Below are 19,363 nucleotides of genomic sequence, written 5' to 3'. Positions count from 1 at the left end.
ATGTTTGCCCCGGACCCAGTGAGAGCTGTCCTGGCCGAGAGGGCCCACTGCAGGCTTCCTCTTCCAGGAGCCTCTGCTTCAGGCTCTTGCTCCCGATATTCCACTCACTGAGATGCAGGTGGATCCCCCATGCTGGACTGGGGGCTCCTTGGGGACAGGCTCAAGTCTGTTTCAGAATCCCGGGGACTGGAACTCCCAAAATGTTTGATGAATGAAGTTGAGTAGTCCAAGTACAGCAGCACCCAGTGACCTCTTGACGGGGAATCACACAGAGGAAGAGCCTAGAGGCCTGGAATCATCTGGGAGGAGGCCAGGCTCAGGCTGGCTAGTCTGGGCTGGGCTGGGGAGGGCAGCGCATTCCCATCGCCTGGAGGGAGGTTCGCTGCCTCTGCCCAGGGTCAGGCCCAGAGCCGCAGTGGGGAGCAGGGTGTCTGAGAAACTGGCAAAGCCTTCCCGCCCACACGGGCCTGACAATCACCCTGTGGGTCCCTCCTCAGGTCCTGGCACTATGTCACATTGCCGTGGGGCAGCAGATGAACCTGCACTGGCTGCACAAGGTAAGGGCCGCCTCGGCCGGGGCTGGGAGAGAGCAAGGGAAGCTGGAGGCAGCAGCAGCAGAGGAAGGGCCTGGCCACCATGTCCCTCCCCTGGATCACCGTTAGAATTGTTCTCATAGCTAAGGCTGAGCACTCACTATGCGCCAAGCACTTTTCTCACAACCTCACCCGTCTTCATTCACTTAACCCTTACAGCAACCTTGTGATGTAGGTACTGTTATCATTCCATTTTGTGGTTGGGGAAACTGAAGTACAAAGAGGTTAAGTGATTTGCCTAAGGTCTCCCAGTTTAAACATGGAAGATCCAGGGTCCCGCAGTCATGTGATTAACCAGCAGAGCTCACAGCTCATACTGTGGCACCCACCCTCTGGGGGCCCTGCCTCGGGTCTCACCTGCCTCTTCCTTCTTTGGTGAGCTCTTTTGAAAACCCTGATCTGGCGATGGCATTCCCCAACTTAAAGCCTTTCCACCACTCCCACCGCTCCCAGGATGACCCAAACTTCCCTACCTGGCATGATCTGGCCCCTGCTGATCTCCCAACCCATCATGGGACAGTCACCCTCAGCTTCTGCTACATGAGACATCTCATGCTCTCCCAGCATGTCTGCCTCCTTCCCCCGTTTAGCACTTTGCTCTTGCCCTCCCTTTTTCTCTCGGACCCCTTCCTCAGTACCTCCCCTACATACACAGGATTCTCTCCCGGGACTTCCTCAGCCCCTGCAGCCTCCCCTGCTACATGTCTGAACAGCTATGTTTTTGTGTTTTCAGTATTCGTCTGGCTCCCTGACCCCGACCCACCCAGTCAAGGTGCTCTTTGCAGGCCAGAGTTAACCTCCATCTCCCTGTTCCCAGTGCCCCCCCTCAGGGCTGGGCCCAAAGCAGACAGGCTTCACCCATTCCGGAGCCTTAACTCTCTGCCTTACGTCCATTGCAGGCATAGTGCTGAAGTGTGTTTCTGATGCCTGGCCTTCTTGGGGCCCTGGTGGGCACAGAGTGGTACCGAGCTGACCAAGGCAGAGCCCCTCCCTCCCAGGAACATCTGGATCGTCTCCCTTTCCCCAGAGCCTGGCTCCCCGTGGGCCTGCCATTTAGGAAAGGGCAGAAATGTTCAGAAACTACCATGAGCCCATGAGATGGGGCCAGAATGACTCCAAGGGGAGGGGCTCACTTCTAGCTAGAAGACGGATGTGGAATAGGAAAGGAAGAGGGGACAGCATGAGCCTGGGTTGGGCTGTGTGGAGTGGGAGGTGCCTGTGAGCATCCAGGGAGGCACCGAGGCCGGTTTGTTACATGGGCCTGGAGCTTGGGAGTCAGACCCCAGAGACTGAAGTCTTAGAGTGGTAGGAGCCGTGAGCAGCCCCTGGTCCCCCCACCTTCCTCCTGCCCTCACTCTACTCACAGGCCTCCTCTGGGCTTCCACTATCCCCTCTGTGAGGGAGTTTCTTCTCCTGGCTGCAAAGCTGGCATTTGAAAGAACTGCACCAGCTGGCACCCCGGGTGGGGCTGGCACATGCTGTGGTCACCTTCTGGGGCCATGCCTGGCTCTCAGCAGGTAAGGTCACACATGCTTGATTCTAGTGGAGAGGCCTATAGAGCCGCTGAGCCAGCTGGAGCTGGCAGATCAATGCAAGGAAGCAGATCCCATTGTCCATGCTGGTGCCAGCTCCCAGGGTGCCTTCCTCTGCCCTCTGCCCCCTATGTGAGATCGCAGCATGAGCAGGGTCCTTTCAGGTGGAGCTGACCCAGAGCTCGACCCGCCCCACCAGGAGGGAGTTCCCCAGAGCTCAGAGTGTTCCAGCAGGGCCTGGAAATTCTCTTCTGTTTCTAAGATTCTGCCATTTGATTCTAAAATTCTAAGGACTCTTTATTCTTTTTTGTTTGCTTTAATTAACTTTTGACCATGTAATACATCGACATGATTCAAAATACAAAAAGCACAAAAAAGTATACAAAGAAAGTCTCCTCACTATCTTTCCAGACAGATTTTAAGCACATGCACATGTACATATGCATTTCCTTTTTCTTTTTTCTTTAAACACAAACAGTCGCCTACTCCACCCTCTGTTCCGCACCTTAACAGAATTCTTGGAGCTCCTTCTTCGCTGCATTAAAGCATCCCTGTTGGTATCCATCCCTTGCTCCTGCTCCCTGGTCTGGATATTCCCTGATTCCCTAGGCGTCTAGCCAGTTCCCTGTTGATAGACCGGATCGACATCCCAGCTGCTTTCTGTCTTTTGCCAGGACGATGTGGTGGTGACCTGGGAGAGGAATTTCTGGGTGAAGAATGTGTACTTTCATCATTTTGATCTTGCCAAATGGCCTCCTTGCCAAGTGCCTCCGATTCATGCTCTCTTAGCAATGGATAGTTGTTCTATAAAAACACCCTTGCCCATAAAGCATCAGCTGATTTATTGGCTTTTGTCAGCCTGATGGGTGAAAAGTGGTACCTTGCTGTAGTTTTCATTTGCATTTCCCTTCGGGTGAGTTAGATTCGGCATTTTTCACATGTTTGAGTAACTTGTGTTTTCTTTTCTATAAAACTGTCTCTTCATATCTTTTGCCATTTTTGCCATTGCTTTTTGCTTATTCATTTGCAGGAACTCTTTATAGATGTGGGAAATTAGCCATTTGGCTAACAAACTGCAAATAATTCTTCCTAGTTTGTCATTCATCCTTGGACTTTGCTCATTGCGTTTTTACCATGGGGATATATATTTTTTTATTCTTACATACTTGAATCTGTCATCTCTTGATGACTCCTTGGTTTTGTGTCAGACTCAGAAAGGTCTTTCCCACTCCAAGATTATAAAAATTTTTCTATGGTGTCACTTGGTAATTATATATTTCCACGTTTTTAACATTTAATTTTTTCTCTTTTTGGAAGCTATTTTGGGGTATAGTGTGATCTTACTCTGTTCTTTTTAGATGGCTTCCCAACGTTTCCAACTCTCTCTACTGAGAATTTGTCCTTTATTCATTTGAGATGCTATTTTTATCATATACTAAATTTTCTTTATGTATTTGGATCTATTTATGAATTTTTTGCTTATTTTCATTTATCTATCTGGTCTTACATCAGCAACATAGCACTCTAAAGACCACAGTTTTATAGTATGTTTGTATTTTTTTTTTTTTTTTTAGAGACAGTCTTGCTGTGTCGCCCAGGCTGGAGTGCAGTGGCACGATCTTGGCTCACTGCAAGCTCCACCTCCTGGGTTCACCCCATTCTCCTGCCTCAGCCTCCCGAGTAGCTGGGACTACAGGCACCGGCCACCAGCCCAGCTAATTTTTTTGTATTTTTAGTAGAGACGAGGTTTCACCGTGTTAGCTAGGGTGGTCTTGATCTCCTGACCTCGTGATCCGCCCACCTCGGCCTCCCAAAGTGCTGGGACTACAGGCATGATCCACCATGCCTGGCCTATAGTATGTTTTAATCATGAAGTTTGAGAGTCTCTGGTTCCCCTGGGTCCTGAGGAGGGGAGGACAGAGATGCTCAGGACAGGGTGAGAGGGAGCCATTCACAGCAGGCTGGGTGCTGAGTAGATCTGGTGCTTATGTGGGGACCTTCCTCCTCCTCCCCAGTCTGCCAAAATCTCCTGTTTCCCAGAAATCTCTCCCAGGTGAGTGTTCAGGAGAAATTGAGGTACCCAGGAGGTGAGGGAGCAGGCTGAAGGGTTCTTGGGAGCTTTACAGTAAACAGGAGGCCCTTTCCCTGAGATGCCCCCCTTCCTGCCCCACCCACCGCCCTCTGTGAGGTGTTTTGGTCACAGCTCACACCTCCCCAGGCTGCCCTGAGCACACTGCACTGCTCTTCTGTCCTCGCCTGACTCCCCTGCCTCAGTGGCAGCAGCCCCCAGCCCAGGACCTGCACAGAGGAGGCGTCTGTCAGCGACCCAACCTGAGCCCCAGAGAGGAGCACTGGGTACCACACAGCCCCAAGGCAAGTTACTGGCTGGGCTGGGGCTGGGGCTTCTGCCTCCTACCAAGGCTCCATCAGCCTCTACCTGCCATCTGCTATGTCTACTTCATCACCTCTCCTGGTGAATTCAGACTTCTCTCCATGCACTGGCCCCAGCTTTATGGTTTTTCCTGGTGTCCAGCCTCTGTCCCTCCAGCAGCAGCTTAAGGAAGGCGCATTCACTGAGCACCTCCTGTGTGTGCCAGGCACTGCGTTCACCATAACAGCAGTAACCATCCTTTATTGGGTGCTGACCACATGTGTCAGGCACCTTTCACTCAGAATTTCACAGTCATTTCACTCCTCACAATAATCCTGTTCCCATATCATGCTCACTTTTTAAAATGATATCACTGAGATTTAGTAAGCATTTTCTTCTGGCCAGCCGTTGTACTAAGCATTTCACTTGCATTTCCTCACTGATCTTCCCCAACCCCCTTCCAGGTAGGTACTCACTATCCCTATTTCACAGCTCTGGAAAGGTCCCTGGAGAGGATGTGGAAAGATCCCCAGTAGGTAGCAGAGCCAGGATTCGACTGAAGACCGTGATTCAAGTGAGGCTCTTAACCCTGGGCCAGCTGTCTGCCATTTGGACTGCAAAACCCAGAGGCCAGATACCCCTAAGAGGCCAGCTGTTGCACCTCTGCAAGGCGGGGTTCCACCTCCTCTCGGGTCCCGGCACCTAGGCCAGACTCATCGAATGAATGAAAGACTCTGTTGTATCCCCTGTACCCACCATGGCTATCACAAGCCACAGTCCCATGAAGACAGAGAACCCAAGGCCACTTTCTCAGAGGAGGACGGTGATCTGTCTCTGGGCCTCTAGGGTGGGATTCATCCTTCTCAGTCAGATTTCAGGAGCGATGGTGGTTGCGTTTTTGGGTGTCAGTGCTATTGCTATAACTTAATGATGCAAGGTAGGGAAGTCCCACAGACACTGAACATGCAGTGATGCTGCTGAGTGTGTTGATTAGCACCAAAGCAACTGTGGAACTCAGAGATAATAACATTTTTAATTGTATTAGGGTTTGGGGAATCAGTTTTATTGCAAGTCGTTTCCATTAATAGGTATTGTGATGAGATGCTCCTGGAAACCATCCTTAACTCACTGTGTGCAGGGCCACCTCCCACGATGGCCACAAGGGGGAGCTGCGCGCCGGGGGCAGCCGGGAGAAGGGGCCTGAGTGCCGAGGGCGGGGTTCTCAGGGGTTCGGAGGCGCAGCTGGGCCTCCCAGAGACTGCGCAGCCTCTCTGACACCAGCGTGCTGTCTGTCCGAGAAAGCGCACACCCCCTTACCCCCTGAGATGGGCAGAAGGTGTTCGTTTCTGGTTCTGCCCCTTCAAAGCTCCGTGACCCAGCCAGCTGTTCCTCTCCCCGAACCTCGCTTCCCGTGTGTGAGATGAGGATGCTCGTGCCTCCGCGGAACCAACCTGGGGACCACGCGAAGCGCCCCCACAGGCCCAGGCACGCCCATGCCTCTTCCCGCCCCGAGCCCCCATGTCACAGCCCTTCCAGCTCCTCACCTGCCTCGCTCAGGTCTCTTGGGGGAACATTTGTTTCCAGGCTGATGGGCTGGAATGAAAAGCCTCCAAAGGGAAACTTCATCCCAGGCGAGACTCAGCATTCCCCGCCGGCGAGTGAAGGTCCCTGGGTAGGGAGCGGAGATGCTGGCCACCGCCCCACCCTCATCGTCTAGAAATGCCACTGTCCCTGCTCGGCATCAGAGGGCCCTGGCCGCTGCTGCCTCTGGGAAAGGTTGCCTCGGGAGAAAGGGGGTGAAGGCCCTGCCAGCAGCTAGAACGGCTCCAGGGAGGCAGGGCGGCCGGCAGTGCTGTGGGAGAAGGACAGGCCTTTGGAGGGAGATGGGAGACGAGTCTGGAGAAACTAGGGGGACGGAGGTGGCGGCTTTGACTGACCCTTCCAGAGACTGGGATCTGCGGGAGGCTTTGGAGGAGAGCCACAACCTGGGCTTCGGGGAGGCACGCCTGGGGGTGTGGAGGGGGGTGGGTGGAGTGAGATCCACGGCTAGGGGCGAGGGGCTGGGGGCCGAGGAGCCGAAAACCTCTGCCGAGCTTCACGTGGTTAAAGATTTCAGGTCTTACCTGTCACCAGAGATCTCTGTCCCGTAGAGGTGCCACCTCATCCTCCATGAGAGCTGTGCTTTGCTTTCTTCTGGAGGCTGCAAGGAGGATGGCCCCCATCACGGCGGACCTAGATGCTGGGAGTCCGGGAGAGGGCAGGCCGTGGAGATGGGGCAGGTGGCGATGTGTTTCACCACCCACTCCCGCCTGAAGTGCCACTGTGAGCCCAGCCCAGGGTGCCAGGCTGGGCTGCACTCCAGGCTCCTGCAGCAGACCCAGTTCCTCAGCCTCCTTCCCCTGAGGCCTGGGCATGGCCTGGACAAGTGGGTTTCCTCCTCTGCTGTGCCATGCTGAGGTGGCAGGGAGGCTGGGCGGGACCTTGGATGTGACTAACCTGCCAGGCCCAGGGAGGTCCCCCTTACTGAATGTCCTCCCTCCTCACAGTTCCCTCCTCCTCCTGTCCCCATCCTCCCTTCCATTTCTCGCTGTCCCTTCCTCGCTGGGTCTGCCGGCCTCCTGCTGCCTCCTCCTGCCTCAGTCTCTCCCTGCCGTGTCTATCTGCCGGCCTCTAGTTTCCTGGCAGCCCATGCCTGTCTCTTTCCTCCCTCCCCTCTGCCCTGCTCCATCGGCCTCTCCTGCCCTCTCTGTCTCTCCCTCTGGCTCCTCTCTCAGACACACTGGGAACCCTCCCACCCGCTCTGAGCCTCTGTCCGGTGACTCTTCCCCCTCCAGATCGGGCTGGTGGTCATCCTGGCTTCCACGGTGGTGGCCATGTCGGCCGTGGCCCAGCTGTGGGAGGACGAGTGGGAGGTGCTGCTGATCTCCCTGCAGGTGAGTGAGGAGGGTCCCCCAGGACCCTCACAACAAGAGCCTTTCTGTCACTTCCCTTTCTCCAGACCAAGGCCCAAAGAAGGGCAGGGAGGCGCCCAGGGTCACAGAGCAGGTCAGAACTAGGGAGGACACCAGGGTCCTGAGGCTCCCAGTGTCCCCAGTTGGCAGATGGAGACAGGGTTGCCTGCCTCATAGGTAGAAGTAGGAGGCTGGTGACACAGGGTCTGGGCAGAGCTGGGCGTTACTGGTCTCCCTTCCCTCTCCCTGCAAACAGGGCACAGCGCCATTCCTGCATGTGGGGGCTGTGGCAGCAGTCACCATGCTCTCCTGGATCGTGGCAGGACAGTTCGCCCGCGCAGAGCGGACCTGTGAGTAGAACTGTGAAGGGCCTGCCCCTCCAATCCCTGCAGGTGCCAAGACCAGCTGGTGCTGCCCCGACCTGGGCTTTCCCTGGGGGTGGCCTGGGGATGGGGTGGGGCCCCTGCACTCAGTGAGGGGGATTCTGGCTCAGAGTGGCCCACAGAGTCCACGGAGGGTCACAGCTTCAGTCGGCCTCACACTGTATTCCTCCTCCATGTCTCTCTCTCTGCATGTATGCACCTGTGTCTGTGTGAGTTAGAGGCGGGGTTCATCTTCCCAGCAAGAATAAGGGCTTCCCCCTAGAGCACCTGGATCCTGACAGGTCGGGGGTAGAGGGGTCCAGCATTGCACCCCAACCTGCCCAGGGCTCACCAGGCAGCACTCACGGCCCCTTATCTGCAGCCTCCCAGGTGACCATTCTCTGTACCTTCTTCACCGTGGTGTTTGCCCTCTACCTGGCCCCTCTCACCATCTCCTCTCCCTGCATCATGGAGAAGAAAGACCTCGGCCCCAAGCCTGCTCTCATTGGCCACCGCGGGGCCCCCATGGTGAGTGCCACCTCAGGGTCCTAACAGCCCCGTTGGGGTGGGGTGCGATGGGGGGGACCTTCTTGGGAAATGGATATATGTAATGGTAGCAACCATTTGTAGCTTTTTGAGGGGAGGTACATGGGAAGGACTGGCAAAAAGGCCGGGAGTGCTGGGATGGAAGCACATCTTGAAGCGTCCTGAAGGCATCTTGCTAAAAAGATTTCAGTTTTGTCCTAAGTGCCCTGCAAAGATGCAGGAGGGTTTTAGGCCCAGGCTAGACCCAGGTGCCAGTTAGGAAGGCCCAGGAGATGGATGCTGAGTGTGGGGCCTGGGGTCTGCCACCAGGCATCAGGAGAACCCTCCAGGAGAGCTGGGAGGCAGCTCAGAGCCCACTGTGACAGTGAGTACGGCTGAACCGACGTGAGTTGGAGAAAGACGAAGGGATCAAAGTCAGCGCCGCATTCTGCCACCAGTGCACTCCATAGCCCTGCAGGAGAGCTTCGGTGAGAGGGCAGGCTCCAGAGCCATGTTGCCTGAGTTAGCATCCCAGCACAGCTCCTCACCAGCTGTGGGAGGCCCAACAGTTTCCATCTCTTTGCCTGGTTCCCCCATCTTGTACCATGGGACTAGTGAGAGCACCTGCTGTGGGGCTATGAGGAGCAGGAGTTAGCATGTGTGCAGTGCCCAAATATGCACATGGTGCACAGAAAGTAAGAGGCAGACACTGCTGTTACCTTGGGCAGGGCCATCTCTCTGGAGCAGGGTCTCCTGCTCCATGAAAGCCTTGAACCCAGGCTTCTTAGCAGAGGTAGTACACACCCCCACCCTGCCAAGTGGGGGTGTGTGTGAGCACTTCCTGAGGGCTTGGCTTCCTGGTGTTCCAGGCTGTTGTGGGACCTCAGGGTAGTAAGGGGGTCTCACATAACTGCTTTGGAAGGAGGTGCTGGGTCTGCCGGGCTGCCACTCACTCTGGAAGTCTGGCCCCCTGCATGTGGTGGGTATTATTTTCTCGATAAGACTCCAGCCCCTGAGCCAGACTCCAGTGCTGACCCCAGTCCCTCCCAGAGGCAGCCAGTGGGGATCTGGATCTGGTGTCCAGTTTGGCCACATGCTGCCTGTGCATCTTGGAGGGGTCACCAGTCCCCTCTGTGCCTCAAAGGTATGGATGCCCATGCTGCTGGTTATTGTGAGGACCAATTGGAGCCCAGCCTTCCCAGTGGGGGCAGGGGAACTCTTCTGAGGGGCTTAAAACGATGGCCCCTCCTGTCTCCATGACTCAGATTACCATCTCCTGGGCTCCCTCCAGCAGCCAGGGGACATAAGTGGTATGCTGAAGCAGGAAGGTGGCCCCAGCGAGGATGGTTTTCTTTAGTAGAAAAAGGTCAAATATATGCAGAAGTGGAGAAAAGCATATAATGACTCACATAATGAAGAAGGATGTAATGAATCCAATCCCATACTTATCTACGTTTGGCCATTCTTGCTTCATCTGTTCCCTACTTTTTTTTCTGGGGTAGTAAAGCAAATCTTAGGCATCGCATCGTCTTACCCATAGGCACTTCAGGATGTATCTGTAACACATGAGGACTTCAGAAAGATGCATAGCAACAATGCTGTTATTACACCCAGCCAATATTAAGGATAATGATTCCTTAATATTATCTAAAATGGAATCCATGTTCAATTTCCTTTTATTGTCTCGAAAATATCTTTTTACAGTTTAGTTGTTAAAAATCAGGATCCAAATGTGGTCCACAGCACGCATCTGGTTGGCGTGTCTCCTGAGTGCCTTTTGATTTGTAACAATCCCCCGGCTGGGCTCAGTGGCTCATGCTTGTAATCCCAGCACTTTGGGAGGCCAAGGCAGGCAGATCACCTGAGGTCAGGAGTTCGAGACCAGCCTGATCAACATGGAGAAACCCCATCTCTACTAAAAATACAACATTAGCTGGATGTGGTGGTACATGCCTGTAATCCCAGCTACTTGGGAGGCTGAGACAGGAGAATTGCTTGAATCCGGGAGGCGGAGGTTGCAGCGAGCCGAGATTGCGCCATTGCACTCCAGCCTGGGCAACAAGAGTGAAATTCCGTCTCAAAAAAAAAAAGTTCCCCGTCCCTTTTTTCCCTTAAGCTGTTTATTTGTCCTGAGAAATGGAGTCATTTGTCCTGTGGGATTTTTCACATTCTGCATCTGACTGATCATGCCCTGGTGGTAGTTTTTGAGGGGCTGGCAAGGGTCCCCTCTGTGTGTCCCTGTGCATTGCCTTGGGGGGCTCTGACTCTGGGTCCACATGTCTGTGTGTGGTGAGCCCAAGTGCACATCTCTGTCTTGGAGACTGTCTGTGTGTCCCTGGATGTGTTGTTCCTATGCAGATGTGGCCTGTCCCTCTGTGCATGTGTGTACGTGTACTTTAATATTTGATTGCACTAACTCTGAAGCTAAGACTCTTTTTTAATAGTACTTTGAGTTGCTGTTTTATAAATCTGGGTCTCTTAACCATAGTGTCCCACCCACCTGAGTAACCACCACCCCCCTATGCACACCCTCCTGACAACAGAACCCCACTTGGACTGGCCTGAGGCAGGTGCGAGCTCTGAGACGGGGACTAAGAATTCACCCCAGCAACGTGTATGCTTCTGGGGCCTTCCTGGAGTCCTGAGCCTGGCCAGGGAGGGCCAGGTTTCCATATCTCTTTCTCCAGGAGGTCAGCACCTAACCCAGAGAGAACTTAACTGTGTCTAAAAGCTTCCAAAAAAGACTTTCCCCTTCCCAAACACTTCCTCTGCCCTGAGGGTCTTCGCAACCCCTTCCAAGCTTCTGCCTTCTGCAGCCCCAGCCCATGCAGCAGGGAGCGTGGACCCCTGTCAAGTGGTCCCTGATGGAAGGCCTGGCCGCAGGATATTCAGAGATGGGTGGGATTCCACTGAGTCCTTGCCTCTCTCTCCATGCCTTTGTAGTCCTGCTTCCCCTGGGAGTGCCTCACACAACCCACTGGACTGGGAGACAGGTAACATGTCCTCCAAGAGTGCTGTATGCCAGGGACAGGAGAAGAAAGAAACTCATTACTGAGACCCTGCTGTGTGCCAGGTCCTGGGCTAGGGTCTGTGACTTTTGTTATCTCACCTGTGAGGTTGATAATGTTAGCCCATTTTACAGCTAAAGAAACTGAGGCCCCAGCTCTGTGTCTGGGAAGTGAAATTGCACCTTTTTAGTCCGTTCCAAAGCCCTCACCACTCCCTGGCTCCCCAGTGCTAGGCTGTGTCACAAAAGAGGGGAGTGGCTGGGGAACATCGTGGCCAGAGGGAGAGAAGGTGGGAACAGGATTGTCTTCAGTGGGAATGAATGAGATCAGCCATGGGAATCCTTCCCACCTCACCTCTTCACTGACAGAGCAGGGCAGGGGGATCGGGGGTGTCCTCCCTCCCTCCTTCCCTCCGACCATCCCTCATGGACCTGGTCTTCGCCCAATCCTTGGTTTGGTGCTGACCCCCAGTGGCAGCAACGGGTATGACAGTCCTCAGATGAGACCCAACTAGGGAGGCTTGAATCCCAACTGTCCTAAGCATAAAGACCCTCATGAGTACACATCTCTAAGGGGCACATGGGGAAACTGAGACCCACAGAGAAATATACCCAAAGTCAGGACAATAGTTAATGGCAGAGTCAAGGCTAGAACCAGAGCTGGGTGTGGTGGCATGCACCTGTAGTCCCAGCTATTTGGGAAGTTGAAGCGGGAAGATTGCTTGAGCCCAGGAGTTTGAGGCTGTTGTGAGCTGTGATTGTGTCACTGCACTACAGCCTGGGTGACAGCAAGACCTTGTCTCTTAAAAAAATGCTAGAACCAGGATCATGTAAGGGGAAAACAGTTGCTATTTATTAAGCACTTACTGTGTATATCAAGCAGTGTGCTAGAGGCTTTTAATTCACGTAACAGTCCAGGGAGGGAAATAATGCTGTCATGTTTATATAGATGAGGAAACTGGTCCCGCACTGAAACTCTACCATCCCATCTACCCTCTCTTCCAGGTCTCCCCCCTGGACTTGTCTCAGGGTATAACCCTTGGTATAACCAAGGGTATAACCTGAATTTCACATTCAGCCCCAGCCCAAGACTGCCAGAGAGCCACAGAGGACTGTAAAAAAGCCCTCCAGCCCCAGTGTCTAGCTCAGTGCCTGGGATAGAGCAATGATAACATAGTGACCATAGCTACCATGTGTCAAGTGCTAGCTACATGTCAGGCATTTATATGCATCAACACTAACCAGCCCTGCCTCCCCCGCCCCCAGTAAAACCAATGAGGTAGGCATGATTTAATAGATGAGGAAGCTGAACTTCAGAGAAGCTGAGTGGGTGCCCAGGGTCACACAGCTACTCTGTGGAGGGGCCAGAATTAGAACCAGGCCTAGCCCAGCCTCCCAACATGAAAGACTTTCCATTGGCTGGGGAGGGTACATCAGCTGAATCTTGGCTCTCCCTTCACCACCCCTTCTTCCCCAGCTGGCTCCAGAGCACACGCTCATGTCCTTCCGGAAGGCCCTCGAGCAGAAGCTGTACGGGCTCCAGGCTGACATTACCATCAGGTAGGTGTAGCGGAGGGGAGATAGTTCCTCTACCCCTCCCACACGCTTCGGCATCCACCTGGGTCTCTGCTGGGGGAACCTCTGGTCTCAGAGCCTCTGAGATGGGAGGAGGAAGACTTAGATTATCCACAGCAGGGCAGGCACCCTGTTCCTGCAGACTCCAGGATGTAAAATAGAGGAAAGAACAAATGCTCTTGGTGCAAGCAGGAGCACTGCCACAGAGCCACTTGAAGGGAAAAATAGATGATAGAGCTACAACACTCTCATGAGGGAAATAAAGCAAGTTGCAGAGTGATACATTCACTGTGACTCCAGTTACGTTTTAAAATACCACAAAAAAGTGACATATACACTTTCTCCATGTACATATATAAGTAGATATTAGTATAAATGGCAGGAAGAATCCATACTAATCTCATAACAGAGGTTATCTGAGAAGGGAAGAAGGGCAGAACTGTCATATATAGTTGTACAGGTTGCATACTGAACAAGGGCATCACATAAATGAGGACATTGTTCCCAGTATAGACATAGAATTGTGTGTTTATCACAACTTTCTAGCAGATGGTGGTAAAATGCCTTGAGGAACAGAGGGCACAGGTACCTTTTACTGTTTCACACTAAGGCACCATATGAGCTATTTGCAACCCTGGTAGAGTAGACAAGGATTGGGGTTGGGTGGAATTTGCCAAAGAGGTCTACATTTGCACTGTTCTCATCATAGCATCACAGGGATTTGGTTCCAAACTGGGTTCCACCACTTACAGGCTGTGGACCTTGAGCTAGATACTTCCCTCTCTCAGCCTCAGTTTCTCCATTGTCAAATGAGGCAGCACCTACCTTCCAAGGTTGCTAAGAGAGTAGGTCCAGATTTTTCCCAGCCCTCCCTCCTTGGCAGTCCCCACCCCCATCTGACCCTCACAGAGAGCCAGAAGGCATTGGACCTTCAGGGTCACCCACCAGCCCACTGTCTTCCCTGTGCAGATGGGGAGACTGAGGCCCAGAGAGGGGCAGAGCCAGCCGGGATCCTGTGCTGGGTGGGGAGGACTGTGTGGGGTGACGATCATTGGTGGGCAGGTAAAGGATCTGGGGGGTCACTGACTCGGTGGCCCCACCCTCCCTGCAGCCTGGACGGCGTGCCCTTCCTCATGCATGACACCACCCTGCGGCGCACCACCAACGTGGAGGAGGAGTTCCCGGAGCTGGCCCGCAGGCCTGCCTCCATGCTTAACTGGACCACCCTGCAGAGACTCAACGCTGGCCAGTGGTTCCTGAAGGTCTGGCTGCACCTGATCCCAATCTTAGGCATGGAAAACACCAGCAGGGACTGCAAGGAGTGAGAGGTGCAAGGGTGGCCATCAGCTTCGAGACCCCCACTCTCAGAGCTTTCGCGACCTCCACCCAAGCTGCTTAGTGGCCTCCTAGGCTCCTGCCACTGCTGCCAGACTCATGGTTGTCACTGCTTGTTCTGGGTCCATTTCCCTCACTAGAAAAGGTTGACAGGGATGAGAGCAGTGAATAGAATTCTTAACTCTGTAAAACTCTAGAGAGGGGTTGGCTCTCTGATCTGAAATGCTCTAGAAGGAGAAATGCTGTGGGTCTGGGAGCGATTCCAAGCAAGCCGTCCTCCGTCCTCTTGGTAAGCAGGGTGTGGGGTAGAAAGGTTAGGGCTGGGGCCTCCTACAGCCTCCACATGGCCACAGCCATCAATCTGCCTGACCCCAGCAGACTCTGGCAGCCCAGGGGTCTCCACGCTTGGTTGCCAGAAGGGTATGTGGGGGCCCCCAAAGGGCTGATGATGCAGCCATGTGTGTGTCCCTGTCCCTGCCAGACTGACCCCTTCTGGACAGCCAGCTCCCTGTCACCCTCCGACCACAGAGAGGCCCAGAACCAGTCCATCTGCAGCCTGGCAGAGCTCCTGGAGCTGGCCAAGGGCAATGCCACACTGCTGCTCAACCTGCGTGACCCGCCCCGGGAGCACCCCTACCGCAGCAGTTTTATCAACGTGACTCTGGAGGCCGTGCTGCACTCCGGCTTCCCCCAGCACCAGGTGAGGCCCTGCAACGCAGCTCTGCCCCCGGGAGCCCTGGCCTGGCTAGAGCCCTGCTGCTGCATAGCCTTTCCCTGTTGCACTCCGGACTTCAGCTTTCCCATTTGTAAAATGGGGATCACACACTGCTCACTTCCCTGGCAGGGTCATCATGGGACAAGAGGGGAACAAGAAAACACTTTAAAATGTATAAAGGTCCAGGCGGTCAAGTTATTTCAGTGAAGTGTTGCCCTGTCGTTTGGTGTAATAATCTGGGACCAGAGAAATCTGACATCAGTTTAGGACGGCACACTAGGTGCTAGTGGCCATGTGCAGAGTAGTGGCTGTTTGGGTTTTCCCTCCCGTACTGACAGCAGGCCAGAAGCGAAGTTTCCTGAGTTGCTGCCAGTGCACTTTGCAGCCTTGGCTGGGACTGAGTCCTGCCCTGCTAATGACTTCATCTAAGCTTTCACCGCCTGCCAGGTCCTGTCTCTTAACCCCACAGGTGCTCTAGGAGGAGTAGGTACTCTTACGCATCGTGCAGAAGAGAAGTCTGAGGCTGCCTCTCTTCTGCCTGCAGGTCATGTGGCTGCCTAGCAGGCAGAGGCCCCTGGTGCGGAAGGTGGCTCCCGGCTTCCAACAGACATCAGGCTCCAAGGAGGCAGTCGCCAGCCTGCGGAGAGGCCACATCCAGCGGCTGAACCTGCGCTACACTCAGGTGTCCCGCCAGGAGCTCAGGTGCCTGCCCTGCCCTGGGCTCCTCCAGGAGAGGGTGGGACTGAGTCTCTCCCAGTCCTGCCACCACCACCCCCCAACACACACACACACACACACACACACGGTCGGGCAGAGGGATGGGCACACAGAGGAATCAGGCACACATGGTTCAAAGACAAGAGGGTGAGCGTGTCGGGCAGACCCGGGCTTGTCCCGGAGCTTGGCCCTCTGGAGCCAATGTTCCTTGCCCCGGGCATGGCTGTGAGGTCGTGAACAGGACGTGCTTTACCAGCCCCGACACTGGGCCTGGAGCTGCCAGGGTCCGCATGCTGACCTGCCTCTCCCCTGCCCCACAGGGACTACGCGTCCTGGAACCTGAGTGTGAACCTCTACACAGTCAACGCACCGTGGCTCTTCTCCCTGCTGTGGTGTGCGGGGGTCCCATCCGTCACCTCTGACAACTCCCACGCCCTGTCCCAGGTGCCTTCCCCCCTCTGGATCATGGTGAGTTGGGGGGCAGAGGGCCCCTGGGGGGCAGTGCTGGAGCTGCCTATAGCCTGCCCTGACCACTCGGCAAGCTCTGTGCTTGGAGCTGTCCCTGGGAGGTCTCTAGCATGGTGGGGAGTCCATGGTGGGCGTGCAGGCTTGAGGCATGAGGGTTTCATGGCATCTGGGATCTGCACTAAGGTGCTGGGAGGACCCTGGGCCTCATCCACAGGGAGAAAAGCATCACTAAGGGCTCTAAAGAAGTAAAGAGCTGCTTGGGTTTCTTTGCTTTGGAGGGTAACAAGGACAGGAATAGGAAGCATTGACCGGGCGTGGGGCTCACGCCTATAATCCCAGCATTTTGGGAAGCAGAGGCAGGATGATCACTGGAGCCCAGGGGTACAAGACTAACCTGGGCAACCCTGTCTCTACAAAAAAAAATAATAATAATTAATTAATTTGCTGGCCAAGGTGGCACACGCCTGTAGTCCTAGCTACTCGGTAGGCTGAAGTGGGAGGATTGCTTGAGCCCAGCAGGTCAAAGCTGCAGTGAGCTGTGATCACTCCAGCCTGGATGACAAAGTGAGATCCTGTCTCAAAAAATAAAAATAAAAAAGAATAGGAAACAATTAAAATCTGCTCAGAGAACAGCAAATAAAGCAATATTTTAGCTGGTTGACTGGGCACCTGCAGATAGGTGGTGGCTCCACTGTCACCCTGAGCATGCAGAAGGCAGGTGGAGGGTATCCTTATGGCTGAGAGAATGCAGTGCCAATGAATCAGACCTAAGCTGTGGATGGTTCTATGGGAGAGGAGGGTGAAGGGAAGGCAGCCTGGGGAAAGGGTCGAGACCGATGGATGAGAGTCGGCAGCGGGGGGCGGCAAAGCCATTGTCTTTCAGTATCTGGCTCCTGCTTTGAGGACCCTAGACACACAGACCCTGCAGGCCTAGCACACAACCCCTCTGCCCTGAGCACCATACAGTCCCCTCCTACCCTGAGAGTGCACACGTGTGCACACACACGCCCCGGCCCCCAGGCCCACAGCGCCTGGAGCCTACACCTGCAAAATGTCATCTTCAGCCCCCAGACCCTCTCAGGGTCCTCCCTTGCCCTTCCCCAGTGGCCATGTGGGGTCCTTTGGTCCACGGACCCTCAGTCTGGAGCCTCAGTCTGGACTGGCCATGACTGGAAGTTGGCCTCGGGCCGTCTGTCCACAGCCCCCGGACGAGTACTGTCTCATGTGGGTCACTGCCGACCTGGTCTCCTTCACCCTCATCGTGGGCATCTTCGTGCTCCAGAAGTGAGTAGGATCTGACCACTTCCGTGGCTGTCCCTACCCTGCAGCAGGCCCAGCCCCCACCCCAGCCAGGTGAACCCTCTCCTGAGCCCTGGGCCTCAGCCAGGAGCAGGCCTGACCAGGGAAGAAGGACGGACTCCGGTGGCCCCATCCTCCCTCAGACAGAGGCTGGGTGACTTCTGGAATGAACATGCAGCTGGGATCCCAGAGCCAAGCTCTGCCTTGGGTGGCTATGTGGGCTTAGGTGAATTTCAGCTCCTCACCGGGCTGGCCTGCTCATCTGTTAGCCAGGGCATGGGTTCCCACCAGCCCTCAGCAAGATAGCTGGGGTGTGCTCGCAGTGGGGAGGTGTGGTTGGTCCCAGGGAGGGTCTAGGGCCAGCCTGGGGCCCCCACCCAGCCAGGAACCAAGGGGCTGGGATTTTATTCTTGACTGATGTTCTCTCTCTGTCCCATCCTGCTCTGATCGGCGCATGTCCCTCCTCTCTCCCCCTCCCCCTCTCTCTGCTGCACTCTGGCATCTCACAGCTATCACTTGATCAGGTAATTCTGGTGTGGTCTTCCTCCTCCTTCTGTTCCTCTTTCTCCCTCTTGCCATCCCTTCTCCAGTTCTGTCTAAAAACCCACCGTGCACCAAGCCCTGTGCCCGGGCCACCTCGCAGACAGCGCGCTCGCCTGAAGCCTCCCTTACCCCCGCAATCCTCTTTTCTGCTCCTCCCGTCCCACTGCCGTGTGTGTCCCTCTGCTCCCTGTTCCCACGGCCGTTTCTGCAGGTGGGGACCAGCGTTTCCTTGACAGCTTCCTGACCTGGCCCCTCTCTGCACCAAAGTGTCTCCCTGGGGGAGGGGACCCTGCCTGGGTACCCCCATCCCCCTGCCTCTGGCACTTACAGGGGCCTTCACCACTTGCCCAGGGCAGACCCTACCAAGTTTCTGCCTCTCTCTTCCCATCTTCTCCCTCCCTGGCTCTGCCTCTCCCACTGTTCACTCTTCCTGTTTACCTTTCTCTGCCTCTCCCATCTCTTTCTCTCTCTTCTTTACATTCTATCTCTAACACCCATCCCTGCTTTGCTCCCCGCAACACACAGCCTTTTCCTCATTCCCCTCAGAGGACCCCACAGTGGCTGAGCTTCCTGTTCTGGATATGCCTGGCCGAGAGACCCTGGCCTGACACTGTCCTTCTGGGTTTCAACATGAATTTCCAGGATGGGACCTAGAGCTTAGGGACCCACGTCTCCCTCCGTCTAGTGCCTTAGCCCCTCCTGGGTCAGGCAGCTTCACCAATCAGCTTCTAGGAGGAGATGCTGTCCCTGGCTATGGGACATTCCTTGAGTCATTCCTGTGTCCGCCCAGTTGACCAACATCCACATACACTGGTTGCTGATGCTGTCTGCAGCAGGAGTTGGGCCTTCTCACATGGAGCCCCAGGGTGCTGGGGAGGCCACCCCATGGTGATTCAGTGGCTGGCACAGACACGCTGGGTCTGCTCAGACACAGCCAGGGCAGTGTCATTGTCTCCTGGGGATCAGGAGAGGCCTGGTGGAGGAAGGTACCCTGGGGGACAAGGCCGGGGGAGGATACTCTTTCCCTGTGGGCCTTATTCTTCCATTCATTCACTCAACAAGTACAGGTCAGGCTCCCGGGACACGGCAGGCACTGATGGTACTGGGGCACAGCGATGAACAGAGAGAGATTTGCTCACTGCCCTCAATGATTCATAGGGCAGCCAGCCTCGCCAGGGTGTCCGTGCCACCCCCCGCCTCCTGCTTTCCCCTTGTCTGCCTGCTCTGTTCATCCATCCATCCGCCTGTCCATCTGTCTGTCCACTTCTGCTGCGCTGACCCCATCTAGTAACTCACAGTTGGTTTCTTGTGGAGTCTTGGCTCTCTCCATCCCCCAAGCAGGGTTCAGTCCCTGAGGCAGTTGGGTTCTT

The 19,363-nt window shown here is 54.9% G+C and overlaps 1 protein-coding gene across 20 annotated transcripts in view, besides 2 other annotated features; it reads left to right on the top strand.

Annotated features, from left to right (window-relative positions):
• GDPD5 (glycerophosphodiester phosphodiesterase domain containing 5) overlaps positions 1 to 19,363 on the top strand; it is a 91,302-nt gene that overhangs the window by 68,628 nt on the left and 3,311 nt on the right. For 15 of the 20 annotated variants that reach the window (XM_047427654.1, XM_047427645.1, XM_047427653.1 and 12 more), the window contains 10 exons: positions 498 to 557; positions 7,331 to 7,429; positions 7,704 to 7,797; positions 8,192 to 8,337; positions 12,819 to 12,901; positions 14,028 to 14,178; positions 14,733 to 14,951; positions 15,511 to 15,668; positions 16,004 to 16,151; positions 17,353 to 17,435. In XM_047427654.1, the coding sequence (XP_047283610.1) occupies positions 498 to 557; positions 7,331 to 7,429; positions 7,704 to 7,797; positions 8,192 to 8,337; positions 12,819 to 12,901; positions 14,028 to 14,178; positions 14,733 to 14,951; positions 15,511 to 15,668; positions 16,004 to 16,151; positions 17,353 to 17,435 (1,241 nt within the window). 20 annotated transcript variants of the gene reach the window in all.
• Positions 377 to 975: an enhancer, noted in NCBI's record as "H3K4me1 hESC enhancer chr11:75167384-75167982 (GRCh37/hg19 assembly coordinates)". NCBI's record gives its function as "activates a minimal SCP1, AML or CMV promoter by ChIP-STARR-seq in naive H9 embryonic stem cells {active_cell/tissue: H9 hESC(naive)}" and the evidence as "EXISTENCE:reporter gene assay evidence [ECO:0000049][PMID:30033119]".
• Positions 15,814 to 16,376: an enhancer, noted in NCBI's record as "H3K4me1 hESC enhancer chr11:75151983-75152545 (GRCh37/hg19 assembly coordinates)". NCBI's record gives its function as "activates a minimal SCP1, AML or CMV promoter by ChIP-STARR-seq in naive H9 embryonic stem cells {active_cell/tissue: H9 hESC(naive)}" and the evidence as "EXISTENCE:reporter gene assay evidence [ECO:0000049][PMID:30033119]".

The sequence above is a fragment of the Homo sapiens genome, chromosome 11 (assembly GCF_000001405.40).
Source record: "Homo sapiens chromosome 11, GRCh38.p14 Primary Assembly".
NCBI classification, from domain to species: domain Eukaryota; kingdom Metazoa; phylum Chordata; class Mammalia; order Primates; family Hominidae; genus Homo; species Homo sapiens.
This window is presented reverse-complemented; position numbering and strand designations above follow the sequence as displayed.